The sequence below is a fragment of the Homo sapiens genome, chromosome 1 (genome assembly GCF_000001405.40).
Source record: "Homo sapiens chromosome 1, GRCh38.p14 Primary Assembly".
Lineage (NCBI taxonomy): Eukaryota > Metazoa > Chordata > Mammalia > Primates > Hominidae > Homo > Homo sapiens.
This window is the reverse complement of record NC_000001.11, coordinates 165418840-165440573: the sequence shown is the minus strand read 5'-3', so window position 1 is coordinate 165440573 and position 21734 is coordinate 165418840. Positions and strand designations below refer to the sequence as shown.

The 21734-nt window shown below is 43.9% G+C and overlaps 1 protein-coding gene across 4 annotated transcripts in view; it reads left to right on the top strand.

Annotated features, from left to right (window-relative positions):
- RXRG (retinoid X receptor gamma) overlaps positions 1-21734 on the top strand; it is a 44205-nt gene that overhangs the window by 4553 nt on the left and 17918 nt on the right. The window contains exons 2-4 of one of the 4 annotated variants that reach the window (NM_001256570.2): positions 11608-11855; positions 15766-15823; positions 20560-20704. In NM_001256570.2, coding sequence (NP_001243499.1) covers positions 20632-20704 — 73 coding nt within the window. In that variant the 5' untranslated portion in view covers positions 11608-11855; positions 15766-15823; positions 20560-20631. Of the gene's footprint in view, positions 1-3372; positions 3644-11607; positions 11856-15589; positions 15824-20559; positions 20705-21734 lie in introns of those variants that run through there. The other 3 variants (NM_006917.5, NM_001256571.2, NR_033824.2) reach the window with 3 other exon arrangements.

Here is a 21734-nt window from a genome sequence, read left to right as displayed (position 1 = left end):
CAAGCATCTAAAATCTGAAATGCTTCAAAATCCAGAACTTTTTGAATGCCAAAATGATGCTCAAAGGAAATGCTCGTTGGAGCATTTTGGATTTCAGATTTCTGGATTATAGATGCTCAATTGGTAAGTATAATGCAAATATTCCAAAATAAAAAAAAATCCTAAATCCAAAACACTTCTGGTGCTAAGCATTTTGGATAAGAGATACTTAACCTGTATCAACTCGTTTCATAACTAAAACACCACTTTAAGGTCGGTAGTTTTATTACCCCCATTATACAGATGTAAAAACTGGGGGACAGAGAAATTAATAATTTGCCAAAGGGAACTTGGCTAATAAATGATAAAAGTGGCATTTGAATATGAGGAAAAGCAGCAGATCTGGATTTTAATCCCAGCTCTACCATGTACTATACTGTACTACTCTGTAAATTCTTACAGCAGTTACCCAGCACAGACCTTCCTGCCCCTTCCCAATTCAATACTTGGCCTCTCCCAGGATTTTGACCCTGGCCTTTCTCACTAGAACACTCCACATCTTGACTCTATCTCTTCACAATTCAACCCCTAGTTTGGGTTCCCTTCCTCAGGGCTCCCAGCCCAGCCTAATCTTCTTCTCCCTCCTCTTTCCACATAACAGCCACTCAGACACCAGGGATTAGCTAATATGCATTTCTTATATTTGAATTATTATCAGCATATTCAAGGGGACTTTCCTATAAACATTTAGGCTGCACAATCACCCTGAGATGGAATGGGAAGGTATTTTATAACTGTTTTACTGGTGCAAAGCTTTACATTTTAACCGATGTAGAAAACAAGATGTTAGACATTAAATTTCCAGTGAATGGGGAGCAGAGAGAAGCTTTCTTCTGATGGGAAGGAAACCTTCTCTGCTATGGAAGCCCTTTCTGGCTTCCTCAGTGGGGAAAAATCAAGGAATGTGTTGGAGAGTGGAGAGCATGTAGAAGAGGCCCTCCTTCTGCCCCCAGAGGCTCAGGCCTCTCAGCCTCTCAGTGGGAATGTGAGAATGAAAGCATGCATTAGCTGATGGGTTGACGCTGCTGCATGCTTCACGCAACCCCAGTTCGGACCAGCTGGCTAGCCTTTCGAAGCCGCACAGGGCAGTTCCACCTGGATTCATGTAGCCCCCAGAGAAGGGCTGATGAGCTGCTCAGGGTGGGAGCTGGGGTTGCTTCCGGTGCTTGAAGGAAGGGGGAGGGAGAGAGTGGCATCCCTGCCTCTCTCCCTCTCCTCCACCCCCCTCCTCCCCTCGCTCCCACTCCTCCCATCTTCCTCCACCCCCGCCCCCCTCCCCTAAAATCTGTAATGATGGAGGTAGTGAAAAGCAGGGAAAGATTGATAATCAGCCTCATTATTACCAGCATTATATATAATTATAGCAAAACCTCACTCATTTGGATCAATTGAGAGAAAAATCAGTCTAAATTCGTGACAAGTTGGCAGATTACTTTTAAATTACAATTTTATTACTTCTAAGTAACACATGTGAACAGTTTGTGTTTCAAGTACCACAAGCTAATGGTTACTCAGTGGGGATTTTAGAAAACCTGCTTTAAAAGATTCTTTTGTAATTAACACCCCGTTAATATGCCAATGTGCTCCTTCTATGCTTTTTAAATTGCTTGAAAACATATGTATCTTAAATAGGCTTAACATTTCTACCATCTTATTTGCTTAACAAACCTTTTTTATTATTATTTTGTGAATGAACAAATACAAACTAGTTTATACCATGACCAGTTTAGTCACCACTCTGAATTAATTATGTTGTAAATTAATAAGACCATGTTGGTTGTTTTTGTTTAGAAATCAGACTTTTAGAACTTGAAGAACCACCTCATTTTATAGAAGAGAGGTTGAGAGACTTGCCCAAGGCCATATAGGCAAAAACAGCAGGTCTTCTGGCCCCTGGGTCCAAGTTTATTCCGTCTGCTAGATAATGCCTTACATTCCTAAAACTCTTTATGAATATGTGCTATTTATTTCCATACCAATCATTGGGTTATCTGTCAAAAAATATTTGGTGAGTGTCTATTCTGTGCCAAGCCGTGTGCTTAATCCCCATATAATGGGGATAATAAAACTACGGACCTTAAAGTGGTGTTGTAGTTATGAAATGAGTTGATGCAAGTTAAGTATCCCTTATCCAAAATGCTTAACACCAGAAGTGTTTTGGATTTGGGATTTTTTTTTTATTTTGGAATATTTGCCTTATACTTACCAATTGAGCATCTATAATCCAAAAATCTGAAATCCAAAATGCTCCAATTAGCATTTCCTTTGAGCATGATATTGGCATTCAAAAAGTTCTGGATTTTGAAGCATTTCAGATTTTAGAGGCTTGGATTAGGGATACTCAACCTGTATTTTCACTTTTTTTCTGAGGATCGCTGAGCCAGGGCTGAGTCAATCTCAGCACAACAGATAGAGGGGCCCCTCCTGGAGGCCACCGTCTATTTCATTCAAACTTCAAACTGACAGTGTAGTCCGTAAGGCGGAAATTATTCCCATTAGACAGATTAGGAAACTGAGGTTTAGAGTGATAAAGTGGCCCTTTTAAGGCCTGCTGCAAATTATTATAGATCTAGAATTTGAGTCTAGTCTAGCAGAATTTCTGTGAACATTTCTGCATATAATGAATGACATTTTGCTTGCACACCACCTTTCCCAGCCAGCACCAAATTATAGACCTTGCTAGTACAGATGGATATTATGCCATCTCTAACAAATGAGAGGCTCCAGGGGATCCTGCTAACGAGGACCGGCTGGCTGTCCCTTTAAGCCAATTCCGTATACTGGTACATCATGTACCAGTTAGTCCATGGAGGCAGATGTCAATGAGTGTTTGAAGCAGATGCCAATGAGGGTGCCCCCAGTTCTCCTCTCGTTCCTAAAGTCCTTGAACATCAATTATGTGCACACCCAGCTCTTGAATCCATGACCTCTGTCCATTACTGTCTCTGGATTTCTTGTTCAGATAGGCTCTCTCTATCTGAACAGGGCAATCTCTATAGATTGTCTTCTAAAGACGGCAGTCTCTTAAAATACAGCGAACTATATTCCTAGTCCCATGTTACCATTGGGTAATATTCAGAACATTATCTGTTCTCAGGTTCTAAATCCCTGAATTCTTTGAATCCATTCACTTAAACTCAGCCCTAAGAAAAATGTGCAGAAATAATTAATCTCCAAATATTTTGAAGACATCAGAGCTTGTAACTAGTTTGTACATTCTGCCAGGGCAGGGAATGGGCTTCATGCTCTTGGTGTCTTACACAGCCCATATACAAGCAGATGCTTAGCCAGGCGTGCTGGCTGACTGACTGACTGGCATTCTTCTTGGTCTAGGGTGTTCTTCCCCTGCTCTCCAACTTCTGCTCTCCACATCGCTAGGGCTGTGAAAACAGATACTGTGAGCCCTGAACCCTCCAGGAGGCTGCTTCCCCATGACACTAGTGACCAGTAAAATGAAAAGGAGGAGCAAAGGAGATTTTGAGTCACAGAAATGAAACCCAGGCAACCAGCCTAGAAGAAACACTCCAAGATATTCATTAAGTGCTTTGTTTCCCGTTCCTCTGACATCTTGTAAATGCTTTTTGAATTAAAGATGATAACAGGCTTTTCCACTTTTCAAGTTTGGTTGTTAATTCTGAAATCCCACCAGGAGTTTGGGATTGATCTTTAACCTTGAAACTCTTGCTGTCCCCCACTTCTGTCCCCATCTGGTTACAGTAGCTGATAAAAGAGGCCAAGGAACTCCAGGTTGTTCCATTTGCATTTGAGGAAATGGAGGGGGTCAGGACTTCTCAAGGTCACTGCCTGGGGTGAGGGTCTCCTGAAAATGATAGGAGTTGGAAGTCCCAGGTCATGGCTCCCTTTCTGTCTGACCTCATGAGTGCCTGCCCTGGGATGATTTGTTAAAACGTAGTTTTCTGAAAATGGTGCTCCCTCCGAGGCAGAATCCATGTCTTATTTACTTTGTCAGCATCTCATAGTGTGCAGTCTGACACTTTAAGAACAGGCGAATCTCCTCTAAGAAAAAGGTACATACCAAATTCTAGCTAAATTTAGTGCCATAGTCTCCAGATTTTCTATAAAGGGAGCTAACTTTTATTATGTGTTTACAATTTTCCAGGCTTGATTTTATTTAACCCTCACACTGTGGAAGGTTAACCCTTACCCCATGTGGTTGGTGGCATTGAGCTATTTTACCAAAGGGTGGGAGGAGGACTCACTGTGGTTCAGCCCCCTCTACTCCCCTTCCTGCCATCCTAGGTGGCTCCAAGGGGACTCAGGGAAACTCAGTTTGAAGACCACAAACAGCCACAGGTCATGGGCAAGCCATACCTCCTTTCCCCAGTGTCCTTGCTTGTAACCGAGGGGTTGAACTCGATGATCTGCAGGCCCTTCTGTGTAGCTTTGACAGTCAATCCAGCTCTGTGAGGGGAAAGCTGGAGGAAGAGCAGTGTGGAGCTAAGGTGTTGGGGATCACTGCTAACTGAAGAGCAATCAGAAATGGTAATGATAATAAAACTTCTCCAGAATGATCCCCTAGAGGTCTGCAAGCTTATTGGAATGCAGCCACATCTGTGTGCACTAGCTTACCCATTGATTGTGGCTGCTTTCACACTACAAAGGATATTGTGAGTAGTTGTCACAGAGATGGTACAGCCAGCAAGACTGAAATGCTTACTGTCTGACCCTGGAAAGAAAAAGTGTGCCAACCTCTACTCCAGAATGCAAAATTGGGTTTCACATATTAAAATAAATTGAGGTCCACCTGGAAAAGTATTTTAATCCTTGTTTTATTAGCACCTTTGGGGGCCCAGTCCCCTGCCTCCCACTCCTAGTCATTTTGTTCATTTGGTGCAATTATGTGTGTTCAAAAGGAAAAGAATGCATTATGATCCATAAGTAAGTTGTGAAGAGCATAGGGTAAGAATTGAGTATCTTAGTTGTTCTTACATATAATCCACCCATTTGGGGCTTATCTGGGCTTACCTTCCACTATCTCCCCTCCATCCTGGCAAGTGGCAAGCGCAGTGCAGGAGTTCAGCACAGCGGCCCCGGCACAAGACTGCTTGGATTTGGATCCTGGCCCTGCTCTTTACCAGCTAGCGGGTCTTGGGCAGTTTGCTCAATCTCCCTGTGGCTCCACTTTCCTGTCAGTAAAATGGGGATGAGGATACTAATAGTACCTTATTTCCAAGCGCCCTTGAGACTATTAAACAAGATGATGCATGCCATGCCCTTGGAAGGGTGCGTGGCACATAGAAGTTGCCTAATAAATGTTAGCCACTCCAAGCTGAGTATCCCTTATTGGAAATGCTTGTGAATCAAGATATTTCAGATTTTGAATCTTCTTTTGATTTTGTGATGTTTACATTATGTGCTTACTTGTTTTGCATTCCTAATCCAAAAATCCCAAATACTCCAATGAACATTTCTTTTGAGAGTCATGTCAGTGCTCAGAAAGTTTTGGATTTTGGAGCATTTTGGATTTGGGATTTCTAGATTAGAGATGCTCAACATGTATAAAGTGTTTAGAACCATGTCTGGCTTGTGGCAATTGCTCAGTAAATATTAGTTATTATTATTGTTACACAACAGAGGAGGTGACAGTCAGTTGTTGGTTGAAGTGCCTGTACCTGGCAATCTCCTGCCGACCTTGCTCAGCAGCATGTCTGTGTTAAGAGCGAAGCAGGGAAAGGATATATGAGTAAGTTTGCTGCAGACAAAGAAAAACAAGCCAGGTGTCTGAGAATCCTATCATTGTTGGGCCTTCACACCATATCCCTCCACTGGAGGAACAGAGACAGGCTTTGGTGTGTGACAGTTCCACTGTGGGAGAGATCAGAGTGGGATAGGGCCCCATGGTGCTCCCGTGACTTCATATGGAGACTCCTGACTCTGAAAAATGCCAAGTCTTTAGCTCTGTCCCTTTCCCCATGGGTGGGCATTAGCCGTTATCAATGATTCATTACAAGTTTCCATTCCAACCTGAAGAGGGTTGCTAATGGGAGAGCAAACTCTCTACCCTTCCTGGCACAGCAGCAAAGGGGTGGAAACACCAGGCCATTTGCTCCCTTGTCTGGCCAGTCAGAAAAACTGCATGCTTGACATTTTGCTTTTATTGGCTGAGGATGAGGTTGCTAAGCAACTTCCTTACCTTGGTAAGAATTCTGTAGTTCTAAGTACCCTGGCTTTTGTGTCCCCTTTCTCAGTAAGTCTCTCTCTCTGACACACACACACACACACACACACACACATACACACATGCAATTCATTGTTTAGAGATTGTGGTTCTGGTAAACATCAGGAACATTGCTTTCTTATGCAAATAATTTCTGTTGATAAACTTTATACCTACTTGTATACATTAATTAACAAAAAATTAATGGACCTCATAGTCTCAGGAGCTCTCAGCAGTCCTCTGAGTTAGGCCTATTTGTCTCAATTTATGAATGAGGAAACTGCAGTTTACAGAGGTCATGTTCCGTGCTCAAATTTACATAGCTGGAAAGTGGCAGAACCTCAACCTAGAACTCTGACTTCTGAGCTGTTGTCTCCTCCTCAGTCCTGCATCCCTGAAGCCATAGTGCCATCAATGCACACAGGGACTTTTGGAGTCATTGTAGAGTTATGCACTGTACAGATTCCCTTCTCAGTTTTGGCTCCTGGTGACACTCTTAGCACCTTTAATTGGAATGCCAAATGGTTTGAAGGCCTAACATGGTCCAGTTGATGGTGGGAGGTACCCCTCAGCATCTGGTCCAGACTCAGACCATTCCAGACCACCAACACCTGCACTTCTTTCTTTTCAATGCCAACAAGCCATGTCCTACCCAATGCTCACGAAACATTAGTGCTGGAAGGGATCTTTCAGGTCACTGAGTGCCAGCTCCTTACTGGGGGAAATGAGACCCAGGAGTATGCAATGCTATTCTTGGGTATGTTACCAGGAGAGAAGAAAACCTTTTGAGGAACTCCACTAGCGCTTTTTCATTAGATAAGTTATTTTGCAAATAAAATCATTGCCTGAGCAAAGATAATGAACTCTGCAGAATAGACTTGGTGCATTTTCCAGGCATCTGGCATAGGTGCCTGGAAGATCAAGAGGGCACAGGGGAAGGCAGGGAGCAAGGTTGATGAGATGGCGGGGCCAGGGGTCATGCCACAGAGTGAATTGGGCTGAGAGACTGGATCAGGCCATTTGTGCTGCTGGTATCTTGTGCTACAAAATACCTCAGACTAGGTAATTTATAAATAATAGGAATTTATTGCTCACAGTTCTGGAGACTTGGAAGTTCAGGATCAAGGCACGAGCGGGTTCGTGTCTGGTGAGGTCCACTCTCTGCTTCCAAAGATGGTGCCTCACATGATGGAAGGGATGGAAAAATGGACAAATTGTGCATCCTCTGATGCAGAAGGGATGAAAGGTATGGAAAAATGGACAAATTGTGCATCCTCTGATGCAGAAGGGATGAAAGGGCCAAGTAGTTCACTGAAGTCCTCTCTTATAAGTGCATTAATCCCATTTATGAGGGTGGTGCCCTCATGGCCTACTCACTTCCAAAAGGCCCCACCTGTTACTACTCTCTTATGGTTTAAATTCCAACACAAATTTTGGAGGGACACACCCATTCAAATCATTGCAAGGACCAAAAGGGAGCATTAGGGAAAACCTTGACTTAAGATTTGGACTAGACTTATCCTAGGCTGAGGGCTAGACAGAATCTCTCCTGGATAAATTTGCAAGAAACACCACTCATCCTTCAAACAGGAGCCTGCCTACTTTCAGCTGGTGCTGAAGGGAAACCTGTCAGTTTTCTGCCTAGTTCATAGCTTAATCAGAAGGCTCTCAGTGGGGAAGGAAAAGAAATAAGATATAATCAGGTATCTGGAAAACTTGTGGTGCCTTTTGGTATTGGCTGCAGTTTCCATGGGGCTGTGGAAAAACAAACAAAAAAAAGGAGTGAGAGAGGCTGACAAAAACATCACAGACAGGTATGCATTAGTGTCTATTTGGGAGAATAGATTAATTTTCCATTGAGAAACACTTTTGTCATAAAAGTTGTTGTTTTCTAACTTGTCTAAAAGCAAAGCTATTTATTTCTAAGAACTACTGGGACATTGTGAGAGGCAAAGAACTAAAATGCATTTGTCTAAGATGTATTTGTCTTTTAAAATTCTATTTTATTTTTTAAAATGTAGTTATAAAATAGCCCACCTCTTCTGGGTCATTGACTCAACAGAAATAAATCATATTTTAAAGGCCATTGAGAACCAAACTTTAACTCATTATTTCATTGTATCTCAACAATGTACCATTCTCACCACTGCTCTCAGTAGTCAAGTTAACTTACTTCTTATTAATAATGATAACAACAACAAAAATGTACTTTAATTTTCAAATCACTTTCACATCATTATCTCATTTTATTTTTGAAACAACTCATGAGTTCTTCAAAGTCCATATTTGTATATTTTTATGCAGGTTGATGTTTTTTAAACATCATTCCTTTGCATACTATTTTCATGATATTTTATATATCCTCTGTACTTAGACTTTTTCTTAAATCAATTTACTGTTTTAAGAAAGCTTAAATAGCTATCTTTAGGAAGATAATTTTATAACAAGAAATGAGAGCTCAGTCCCTCCCTATAAACAAAAGGAAACAGAAAGCATAAATATAAAACTATTAATTTTTTTTTTAAGTTTGCTGACATACCACTTAAAATGCCCTTTGTCACTGGTGGCAGAGGGACCACACCCTGGAATTCTTGGGGTGATGAGTGTGAAGCAAACTCTTGCTCTTGCCTGTGCCCTCAGTCTAGGCCTGATGTCAGGCTTTGGTTCTTGACCCTGGGGATAAAGAAATAGAAAGGCGCAGTCTCTCTGAGATCTGTTTAAAGCAGAATAAAAAGGAAAGTTGCAGGGTGGTCTGGTCTGTTTTTGGCAAGCCTAAGCAAGAAGGAAAAGTCAATTTCCTTCAGATAGCTTGGTCATGGGGGAAGGACAGCTGTCTTCTCAGTGGAGTTTATGGCTCCTCACCCATTGAATCAGGGCTGGCGCCTAACTCACCTGTCACACTTTATCTTAGTAACAGACTCAAGGTATACATTGGCCTCGTTAAATGTCACAGCCCCCAGGGCCTCAGAAGAGTCTAAAACTGCTCTTTCCAATGAGTGGCCACCTGAAGAGTCTTGGTTTTCTTGGCTTTCAGTTCTTGAGCGCTGCCCTCTTTTCTCTCCTTCAGATGAACTTTCAGCTTGAGATCACTTCATAATTGAGTCATCTTGTACTCTTGGTGCAGATGGCTCTCCAATCATCTTTGCTGTCCTTGATAACAAACACAGAGGAGAGCGTGGGTTTCAGATTGGCAATTTGAATCAAGGCTTTGCCACTAACTACCTGGGCAGTGCCAGGTAATCTGATAGAGATGGAGAAACAAAACTGGACATGGTTTTTTCCTTTTTGTTTAGTGGGAAAGACAGGGAATAAACAAATATAGTGATACAGTATAACAAATGCTAAGATACAAGTAGGAACAGACAGTTTTAGGAAATAAAAAAAGGGCAGGAAACCAGACCAGGAACACCAGGAAAAGCTTTGTGGAGGAGGTGGCACTTGAGTTAGACCTTGAAGGTTGAATAAGAGCTTCTAGACAATGGAGGCAGGGGTAAGTCATCCTGGAACTGGAAATGGTATGGGGTTAGATGGAGCCTAAGTTTTCTCATCTGCAAAAGGCTGAAATGATTTTCATAGGCTTATTGTCAGGATAAAGAGTTATGGAAACTGCCTGATGCTATTGAGGACACATAATAAATGTTTGAGTTATTAATTTTAACCACTTTGCCATGCCCCTGTGGGCCCACAGCATGTGTTTTCTCCTTGATTGTGGTACTTAGGACATGGGGTATTGGGACTTATCTGTTTATGAGGCAATTGTCCCTGATAGACCAAAGCTCCATACGTAGAATGACAAGAGGGTCACAGCTTCCTTGGAGTGACTTCCTTCCACAAGTAGCCCTCAACTAAGCTAGCAGAAGCTCCAAGAGAAACTGCAGGTTGACATTTTTTCCAGTGGAATATTTACGTTTAAGAATAGTTTCACAGTTATATTTCTGACACTTCCTGCTCTCTACCAGAACTTGAAAGAAGCCAGTTTCTCCTAGCATCCTACTCCTGACATTACACTTAGCACCCACTGATGTTGCCCAAAGGCTTAGGACAGTGCCTTGCATGTAGTAGGCACTCAAGAAATATTTGTTGGATGAATAATGAGCCACATAAAGTCAGGCATATGACTTCCTCCACTTCTTATCCCATCTGCTTGGCAAGGTGTCTGACCCACAGTAGGCATCTGAGAATGGGGTAGCTTCTCCAGCAGACTGTGCTTACTGAGCACTTAATCCTCTCCCTTTCTATCCATGTGGACAGCTTGGGTGCCATGGATGTGCTGCGTGCAGCTACTGTGCACATGGCTTCTTCACATCTGTTCTTGCATGCTAGCTGCACAGGGATCTAGTGATGGGATCCACGGTGGGGTGCCCTGTGGTGTTTTCTAGTCTCTGCTTTGCTGCTACAGATCCTAAAGCTTATAGCTCCTCTCTTCTGGAGAGAATGTTCCATGCGGGGCTCCCAAGATGACAGGAGGGCACTCTCCTGTTTCATCTCGAGTTTGCTACTGACTACAGGGGAATGTGGGTTCAATTTATTGGAAGAAAGTGATACTGATGACCTCCTCACCCAGACCCTGTTCCACAGACACTTTTGGCTGCAGCATTCTATTCTTGGAGGCAGAAATGGTCTCGGCAGTCTGGTCTGCATTTGCCTTCCTGTGCTACCTGGGCCTCTGTGGCCATAAAGCCATGCCTAGCCATTCCAAGTCTTCTCCCCTGAGTGCTAATTAACCCTGTACTATAGAGAGGGACAGGAAAAGAACATCATGTACATAAAGCTTCAATAGATATAGGAAACTGGGGGTATGACAACAGCCACTGCCTTCCCCATCATTATTATGGAATGTGACTCCTGATGTCAGCGACTGTGTGCTCTTCTGCTCTGAATCCCCAGCACCTGGCACCCTAATAAATGTTTGTTGCATATAAATGAATGAATCTCAGCCCTGCCCTGATTATCAGAGCAATATGAGTTCTAGTCAGGGAATTATGGAGCAGCCTGGGAACCTACTCACTCTCCCCATCGAGGTTTGGTATAGACTCACCTTCCCTGGCTGGCTGGCCCAGGCCTCAGTCACTCAGGCTGGGGTCTTCTGGACTGTGCCCCTTGTTGCACTGGCTGTGGATCCAGCATAGTCCAGAGTGGATTCCAAGCTGGGCCCCAGAGAACATCCATGCTTATTTCTGTCCTAGAGCAGGCCCTCTCCCCTCTGTGTCCCTCGCTTGTCTTTATACCACCAGGGTAGTGTAGGTGAGAGCACCTAGGGCTTACAGGTGTGTAGGTGTGGCTAAAAGAGGGGCAGGATACAGGAAAGAAAGGTGGGGCTAGGCCTCTGTCCCCCAGGGCCCCTTTCCATGTTCCCCAACCTCCCACCATCTATATTCTTCTTCTTACAGGCTCCCCTGGCCACACTGGCTCTACATCCATGAGCCCATCAGCAGCCTTGTCCACAGGGAAGCCAATGGACAGCCACCCCAGCTACACAGATACCCCAGTGAGTGCCCCACGGACTCTGAGTGCAGTGGGGACCCCCCTCAATGCCCTGGGCTCTCCATATCGAGTCATCACCTCTGCCATGGGCCCACCCTCAGGAGCACTTGCAGCGCCTCCAGGAATCAACTTGGTTGCCCCACCCAGCTCTCAGGTAAGTGTTCTTCCTCTCCAAGGCCTTTCCAGCCATCTTACATGGTTTCACCCAGGCTGCTCCTGGAGCAGAACCAGCACTCAGCAGGTCCATAATGCGTGCTTGCCAAAGGGTTTGAATGGTCTCTGCAGACGTCCCTCAGGCAGGGCCTTCATTGCATGTGTCCTCAGGCTGAGCAGTCCTGAAGAACTGACAACTCCTCATGGTCCAGGAGACTGTGACCAAAAGGGGGCCTTCCTTGTAGTTTTAGCAGTTCAGCCCTGGCTGTGATTTCAACATCTCTCAGCAGAATGGACCCCTTTTATTCTTCTCAATTCAATCATGAGCATTTATTGAGTCACTGAAGTGCCACGTGCTCTTGTTAAAGGCAATGCAGAAATGATCAGGAAATGGCCATTGCTTTCCAGGAGCTTACAAATGAGAGGAGAAATAGGCAGGTATGTCAATGGATAAGTTGAGAACAAGGCAGACTGCATTACATGCTATGCTGTCTCTGAGACTATGGGAGGTTGGGAAGGAAACTTTCCCTTAATTTCGAGTGCCTTCTGCTATGATGGAGGAGAAGAAGTATGTGCATGGTGCATGCTAGATTGCTACTCTGCAGAGCCTATAGGATGGCCAGATATCTTTACTTCCTTCTAGCAATGCCACACTAAGTTCATCATCCTTCCCATCTTGTAGTGGTTGGCTATTGCTGCAATAATGCTGCATAACAAAAATCCCCAAACACTTATCTTCTCACTCATATGTCTACCTTAGGCTAGGACAGATGGCTCTGCTTCAGATGGTGGGTGAGTGGGCTCAGCTGCAGGCTCCTCATGTTTCAGTAGGAGTGGCAGCTACTTGGGGGCATGCTTTTCTCATGGTGTATCATAGAAATGCAAAAGTCCAAACCCAATCCAGAAAGCACAGTGAAGCCTCTGCTCAAATCGTGCCCACTGATATTCCATCAGCCTAAGAAAACCATGACTGATTCAGGCCGGGCACGGTGGCTCATGCCTATAATCCTAGCACTTTGGGAGGCCGAAGTGGGTGGATCATGAGATCAGGAGATGGAGACCATCCTGGCTAATACAGTGAAACCCCGTCTCTACTAAAAATACAAAAAATTAGCCCGGTGTGGTGGCAGGTGCCTGTAATCCCAGCTACTCAGGAGGCTGAGGCAGGAGAATTGCTTGAGCCTGGGAGGCGGAGGTTGCAGTGAGCTGAGATAGTGCCACCATGCCACTGCACTCCAGCTTGGGCAACAGAGCGAGACTCCGTCTCAAACAAAACAAAACAAAACAAAACAAAACAAAACAAAACAAAACAAAACATATGACAGATTCCAACATTGATGGGGCAAGGAAGAAGGCTGTGTCTATATTAGTGGGAAGTACTGCAGAGAAACAATGCAAAGAATATGAAGAATTAAAAGGAGTGAAGTATTAGGAACAATAATCCCATCTGCCACAGCTTCTTCTCTCCCTGTATAACAGCCAGAGTCCCTGCTGCCCCAACTACCAGCACACCTAGAGGCAGAACTGGCAGGGCCTTTATGTGTCAACTTGACTGGGCCATAGGATGCCCTCATATTCGGTTAAACATTGTTCTGGGTGTTTCTGAGAGGGTGTTTTTTGGATGAGATGAACATTTAAATAGGTAGACTGAGTAAAGGAGTTTGCCCTCCCTAATGTGAGTGGGCATCATCCAATTAGTTGAAGATCTGAATAGAACAAAAAAGCTCACCCTCCTCTGAGTAAGAGAACTTTCCTGTCTGATGACCTTTGAACTGTGACGTCATTTTTTTTCCTGTCTCTGAACTTGAACTGAAGCATTTGCTCTTCCTGGGTCTCAAGCCTGCTGGCCTTTGGAGTATGTCATGAGCTTTTTTGGGTCTCCAGCTCACTGACTCACCCTGTGGATCTTGGGACTTATCAGCCTCCAAAATCATGTGAGACAATTGCTTATAATAAAATTTAAAATATATATATACACACACACCTCCTATAGATTCTGTTTCTCTGGAGATCACTGACTAACAAAGTCCCAAAGCCTCCTTTGAATACAGTTTTAGAGAGGAGGAAGGGCTTCTTTTATGTCAGCATTTTCTGCTACTCCAGAGAGAACTTCAGTGACCATGCCTAGAGTCTCCTCTGAGACACCTCATATTCTAGGGTTCTGAAAACAAATTCATGTGGAGTTATAGCATAGAGCCAGTAAGGACTTCAAAAATGTATTGCTCCATAGATTAGATAATTTGGAGACGGCCTTAGAGATCAGCTAGTGTAGGGATTCCAGGAGCTGGGCCCAGTCAGGTAACACAGGTGAGTGAAGGAAGGGTTGTGTAAGTCAATGGGGCAGGTGTGGACTGTGGAGAGCTGCCCTGCTCCCTCAAAGCTGTTCAAATTCAAAGACTTTTAAAGCATTCCTCAGGCCAAATAAACTACTTTACTGGGTATAATTTGGCCAGTAATCTTCACCCCAGTTTCTAATCTTATGGTTCTCACCTGTAGGACCTTTTTCAGAGTACACATTTCTCTCTCATCCCATATTTTGACCCTTGTGCAGGTAGCAAAAGCCCCACAGGGGATCCTAACTGCCCCACTCTTGCTCAAATGAGGATCACTCATTCTGTCCAAACCCTTTATGTCACAAATGAAGTACCAAGACTTGGGGAGCCCAAGTGACTTGTGCAGCCTCACACAGCCAGTCAAAAACAGAGCCACAATGAAATCCTGTCCCCTGGCTTGCAGCCCTGTGTTCACAACCCTGCATTTGCCTAATGCTGTGATATATGCTGACTTGCACAGTGACCCCAAGATCTTCCTGTTGGCAGCCAAGGATTAAAAGATGGATAATCAGTGCTCCCGGGTAATCTTGTGGGAGAGGTGGCCACATTATGCAGATCCATTGCACTTCAGTGCTGTCTGTGTGCTGTCATAGACGCAGGAGCAGACCTGAAGGGAGCAAAGAGAGTGAATTATAAACTGCTTAATATATATTCCTTGACCCCAGTGCTCAGAGGAGTGGGGATGGGGCAGCAGTGGGGGTGTACATGTATTTATGCCACCCCCACCCACTATAATCAGCAAGGCCATTGATACCCTATGCTTCATAATGTATGAGGTTTGTTTGTTTCCTTTCTTTCCTGTGAACAGAGTCCAGGAAGGCGAGTAAAATCTGGTAGTTACAGACAGAAAGTACATTGTAGTTTGGGGATGAAAGTACAGTTTTGCAAAGGGCATTGACATTCATCCCAATAACTACTTATGTGGACCTGCTATGCATCAGGTACTAATTGATACTGTCCTAGGTTTTAGGGATAAGCACGGAATAAGGTGGCCAAGGTCTTTACTCTCATGGCAATCACACAATAGCAGGCAGGACAGGCAAAAACCTAAGGAATAAACAAGATAGTTTCAAATAAAAATCGTAATATCTGAAAAGAAATAAAATAGGGTGAGGTGGTAGACAGATCCTGTGGGTAGGAATTGGGCAAGGCACCATCCCTCTGAGGCTGCTTTTAGCAACCACACTCAAGTCTGATTGAGCCAAACATGGCCAGTCAATTCATCTTCAGAGCTGTGTGAGTAGCAGGGCCGCTATTCCTGGACCATATGTCTGTACAGAGGGATTGGGGTTGAAAGGTCAGATGGAAGCTTTGGTCCTGGCCAACTGGGCTGTGTGCAGAGGCCAAGGCCAAGTTTGGCTTTGGGGAGCTATATTAAGCTTGCCAAGTGCTGGGGAAGCTCAGCAGCCTGAGACCCTGAGCAGTGTTCTGGGCTTGGGCTCCGGAACCACACTGCAGCAATGCTTTGCTCGGTTAACGAGATGACACTGGAAAAAAGGCCTTGGTGTTAGCTACAGTGAGCTGGACTCTGGATCGTCTGGGCAGATTATTCCTATGCATCCTGCCTTCCTCACCCAGGACTGGTCTGAGAGGGATTCATGATGGAAGCATGTTCATTCTGTGACCTGGTTCTCGCGTAAGTACAATTTGGGGGGTGAAGGGAGGAGGAAGTGTCTAGGGGTGGGAGCAGCAGGCAGGGCCAGTCTCCTCTGTGCTCTGTCATTTCATTGTTTGAGCTTCTCTTTTTGCAGTTGTTGGATTTTTGATCTTGAGGAGTAAAGAGATCGGAACTGGTACGATGAAGGCAGGAATTGTGTAATCTTTTGCAAACCACTTTAACTTGTTTCTGTTTCAGTTTCCTTTTCTTTATCGTGGGGTTACAAATACTTGCCCTGATTACCCTACAGGGATTTTTTTAGGCATGTCAAAGAAGATGTGGATTTAAAAATCACTTCTCAAGACGTGCGATGCTCTATAGCAGTAACTTGGTATTATTAGGATTATTCCCAGGTGATAGTATTATACACTTAGGTAATTCAGGTGTACTGTTTCTGAGAGGTTCTAGAGAAGTTCATTTCAACAAGCATTTATTGAACCAGGCCCAGTACTGGGCACTGGAGATACCAAAAATGTGTATGAGATTTAATCCCTGCCCTGGGGAGCATCTAAGTGGAGTGATGCAATTTCTAAAGACATCAATATATCATTGGGAAGATATTTATGTACTTTGTAGATAATGTGATATAGGAAACATTTTTCTGAGTGTGTTTGTGTGTGTATGTTTGATACTGCATCTTTGTCAGCATGATGTCTGCTGGCTGGACTCCGGAATGGGCCTCACAGATCTTTGCAATACTCCTGTCTTTTTCTCCCCTCCTGAACTCTGCAGCCTGACCTGGGTTCTATCATTGCTAATTTCTGCTTAGATATTTATTGATAACTGAATTATTATCCTCTTGAGTCTGTTTGCATTTTCATAGAAAATAAATAAAAATTGCAAATGTTAGAGCTGGAATAGACCTTAAAGTTCATCTCGTCTGATGATTTTAAAAAATTAAGTCATCAAGTCTTTTCTTCAGATGAAAGCATAGTTGGAAGCCTGATATACACATAAGATAAAAGCAGATCTGGTTGAGCCAGGGACAAAAGACTTGAAGCCTCAACCTCCCTCCCCACCGCCCCCAGCAACACACACACTCACCTAGAAATGGGGAAATAGAGTCTTTGCTAAGTGAAGTGACCTGATTAGGAAGTCGCAGGTTTAGACCAAACCCATGTTGGAGGTCCAGGCTTATTACTCCTCATGATGAAGGCCTTAGCTAGATTAAGGCTGTGCCACTATAAGAGTTCTGCTCCCTGGAACGGGAGTGCCTGCCTGCAGCCTAACCTTTGGTGGAAGGATTTGGGCTGAACACAGTTCAGAAATGCAGGACTCAATGTTCAAGGATGGCTCCAGAAGCATGCAGAATGAATTGGTCCCTGGCTGAGTCTGCAAAAGGGAAGACGATCCAGCAGACAAGTATGTTTCTTTCCTGTTCTCAGGGAGCAGCTGGCTTGCGTGCAGCAGCAGATAGGAGTTGCCTGGTGAATCCCGGCTCTAAAGTGCTTATTTCAGTAGACTGTTTCTAATGGAACAAGACAGCCGGGATTGGGGGACTTGGGGACCAGGCAGCTAATGGGTTTATGCTCTGATGGCTGCCTTTGATCTCATCTGCCATTGCTCTGAGCCCAAAACAAACCCCAAGCCAGCCAGAGAGATGGACAGAGAAAACATCAACCAACCTGTCTCACTGCCCCTCCTGCCACTATCCACTCATGAAGAGGAGGAGTGTTGGAGAGGGGCTGCTGGCTGAGACTGGGGAGAAAGTGCCCCAAAGCAAGTCTGCTCCTGCAGGGGCTCCTGGCCAAGGAGGTGAGGAAGGAAGCTGCTAGGGCAGTTGAGGATTGAGGATCACCTCTCACCCAAGGCAGACAATGTGGTGAATGGGGAATGATGATCTGAGATCCAGGATCTTGGGGTTCTGGCTCCAAGCAGTCAGACCTGGTAAGGTACCTAACCTGGTATCTGGGCAGGTGCAATACCTTGGATGTCTCCTCTAATCTTTCCTCATGCTGTACCTCATTCACTGTATTACTGAAATGGTTTCAGGTAATTATTTCTCTGCTCCAAGCCTCTAGTGGCTGCTTATTGCTTCCCAAACTAAATCAATTCTCCTAGCAAGGCAATTCAGCTTCTAGGCTTTGTCATAGCGCACTTCTCAGCATTATCTCCCATCCATCCACTGGACATGTTTGCTCCACAAACACTTGGGCTTCCCTCTAGGCCTCTGCTCTCAAAGCCTTCTGCCCATCACTAGCCCATCCAAATCCTACACATTTTTGAAGGCTGTCGTCCCAGCTCAAATGCCACTTCCTTCATGAAGCCTTCCCTGATCTCAATAGCATGTGATCTTTCCTTCCTGAATGATCCAAACTGACTTTTAATCACATTAATGGCCAATTCCTTGAGGCAGTGCCTGCATCTCCTTCCGTTTTGGATCTCCATATTGTTCCTGAATAAACAAATGAATAAACCCACTTTAAGGCTCAATGTCCTTATCTGTAAATAGGAAGACCTCTTAGGGTTGTTGAGAGGATTAACATAATTAATTAGCACTGAGCAAGCTTTCCATAGATGGTAGCAATGGCAATCATTACTATCCGTGGTTGCTGCTGGCTGGTGGCAGTGGAGCTGGTCCTGCTGGAGTTGAGGGTCGGAGGAGAAGGAAGGGTGAGGACCCCTTGAACCTCAGGTGGTGGTGGTTTCTTCCTTATTCCCATGACTTTTCTTGTCCCTCTGAGGACTTGGGGACAGAGCCGTGGTCAGCTAGAGGGCTCTCTCTGTGGGGTCATCTGACCTAAAGTTCTTCCATTTCATGAGTCGGATCCAAGTGCTAATCTCTGTTTCTTTGAGGCACTTGAGGAAAGTTATTGCCTAGAAGTCACGCTATGGCAGTGGTTCTTAACCCTGGATGCACATTAATGTCATCTGGTGAAATTAAGAAATGCCAGAGCCAGCCAGGCACAGTGGCTCTCCCCTGTAATCCCAGAACTTTGGGAGGCCAAGACGGGCAGATTGCCTGAGGTCAGGAGTTCGAGACCAGTCTGACCAACATGGTTAAATCCTGTCTCTACCAAAAATACAAAAAAGTTAGCTAAGTGTCGTGGCATGCTCCTCTAATCCCAGCTACTTGGGAGGCTGAGGCAGGGGAATTGCTTGAACCAGGGAGGTGAAGTTTGCAGTGAGCTGAGATGGCACCACTGCACTCCAGCCTGGGCAACACAGCTGTCTCAAAAAAAGGAAAAAAAAAAAAAAAAGAAATGCCAGAGCCAAGGCCCTACCTCAGACTCATGGAATCATAATCTCAAGACATGGATGAGGTCCATGTTTTTTTTCAAAGCCCCCAGGGATGAGAACCAGTGTACTACATGAAAACAAAGCAAAATACTGGTTACAAGTTCCACATGTCTTCTCATAGCCTTGTATAAAAAAAGGGGTGGTGCTGGAAGAGGGAATTCTTCTATCACATATGTGTTGTCATTTATTATGCAAATTAATTTTTAAAAATTAACAGTGATGTTGATTTCAAAACAAAGCACCAAAGGCTGTGTCTTTTCTTTTTTGTATCCCTCATAGTGTTTAACTGAGAGCCTCTGTTTGCCTCCTGCGCTCAATAAATATTTGCTTAGTGAATTGAAAAAGCTCGTGAATTTAGAAGGAACCTAGCTTAGGCTCTATTGTAGTTTCTGTTTTATTGAACCTTTCTTCTGTCCCAAAGGCCTTGAATAGAGAGGAAAATCATACCTTTGATTCAGTTTGAGTATTATTGTCCCTTTGGTTAGGCAATATGATTCAAAATTCAGACAAACCATGGGAAGTCAGTAGTTCCTAACCACTAAACCTTTACTTCTATTGGACAATTACGAACATGCATATCCTGCACCACCTTCGTTTGAACTTGCTTGTAAGTGTTCTTATTTTTTTGTGCATGTTCTGACTCCTTGATGACATTGTACATTTTTGAGGAATGAGAGATATACCTTCTGGGTTTCTATTGCTGATTGGATGAGTGGCTCAAATGTATTCAATTTGCTTTCTTTGGTGAACACAAGATACTTAGCCTCAGTTTCTGAGGAATCTTACCAAGAGCACTGGGAGATACAGGGATGGTGATGGGGAGCTGATATTAACTTACAATAAGGGATGTATTCGAGTTAGCATCTTCAGTGTGCTTGCAGAGATGACCATTACACATGTCCTTTCTCATTTTACCGTGAACTCCTTCTGGGTGTGTATTTTTCTTTGCCTTTGTACCCCAGAGCCTGGCACAGTGTCTGGCATTCTGAGTGCCCAGGGAATATCTGTTGATTGACTAATGAATGAATTTGCATTTTTTTGCTTGGCTCTCTTAGAGTGTAAGTCTTTAGCCTGAGGGTCGTAGTTCCTCTTGCAGCACGGCTGAATAGGCAGTCAATAGTTGATAAAAATTTTAAAATACACAGTTGACATTGTCCTGGGTGTGTAATTTGGCATGGATTTCTAGCTTAAATAAAACATATGAGTAAAATGAATAAAAGCAGATAGACTCTAATGGAGATGTGTTGTGATTTTTGGTTTAAGTTTTGGCTTCTAGAAATAATTTTGTTCCTCCTATGGCACTTTTATCCCTCCCTTAAGTTCATCTCACAGATAGGCAGTTTCAAATACTCTGTACTTGGAAACTGTTTCTTGAAATAGAACTTGTTTTTTCTTGAGTAAGCCCTCATTGCCTTAGGCCTTGGGGATTGAATTTACTCTGGCTCTGTGCTTTACAGTATTTTTTTCTCTTGCAGCTAAATGTGGTCAACAGTGTCAGCAGTTCAGAGGACATCAAGCCCTTACCAGGGCTTCCCGGGATTGGAAACATGAACTACCCATCCACCAGCCCCGGATCTCTGGTTAAACACATCTGTGCCATCTGTGGAGACAGATCCTCAGGTACATGCAGAAGCAGACACTCCCTGAAAAGTGCCACAGAGAAGGGGCTGCTCACTGTCTGCCTGGATACTTTGTACTCAATGAAAGGAAAATGGCCCTTTAGGATGGGCTAACTGGGGACCCACCTATACGTTTATGTCACTGGGTTCACAGGCTGCCGTTTTGATGAATTTAAAGGATGGCTTTATTTTTTGAGGATGAGATTTACAGGAAACATTTCAGAAACCCTTCTCTGGAGTCACACTATTACACATGTATCTGAGAGACAGAAGCTGTTGTGATTATCAAGTATTTCTGCTGGGTGTGGTGGCTCACACCTATAATCCCAGTGCTTTGGTGTAGTCCCAGCTACTTGGGAGGCTGAGGTGGGAGGATAGCTTGAGCCTGGGAAGTCAAGCCTGCAGTGAGCCATGATCACGCTACTGTACTCCAGCCTAGGCCACAGAATGAGACTCCATCTCAAAAAAAAAAAAGTATTAAGAATAACCCCTCCCAGATAAGCAATTGTAAAAATAATGTCCTAATGTAGAGGATTTGAACGAACTAGAAAACTGCAAAGAAAAGTAAAAAAATTACCCATAATGTCCCCAAGAAAAATAAACCCTTTAATATTTTAGCGTATTTCTTGCTATAACATTCTAGATTTTCAATATGCTTTTATAGGCAGAAATAAATGTGTTTTCACCAACTTATCTTTGATTCTCTTCTCCTTTTCTCAGTTATTTCTTTCCTTGCTTCTTTCCTCTCCATTCTTCCTGCCCCATATTTCCCTCCCCATCAATTTTGAACACATCCGAATCTCCGATTTGATTATTTGAAGAACAATAATAAGAGGAGGTTATTCTCTTTTCTATAGCTGTCCATGATGGCTAACTGAATATTTCCTTATACTCTTAATGCCACCAAAGCCACTAAAGAATGTCACTCCATTGAAAGTTCCAGGCACCTAGAACTTACCTAGCTGAATGGCTGATGTTTTCTTGCTCTCAAAAAATATTTCCCAAATCATGCAGACTTGGCCATTGCCATA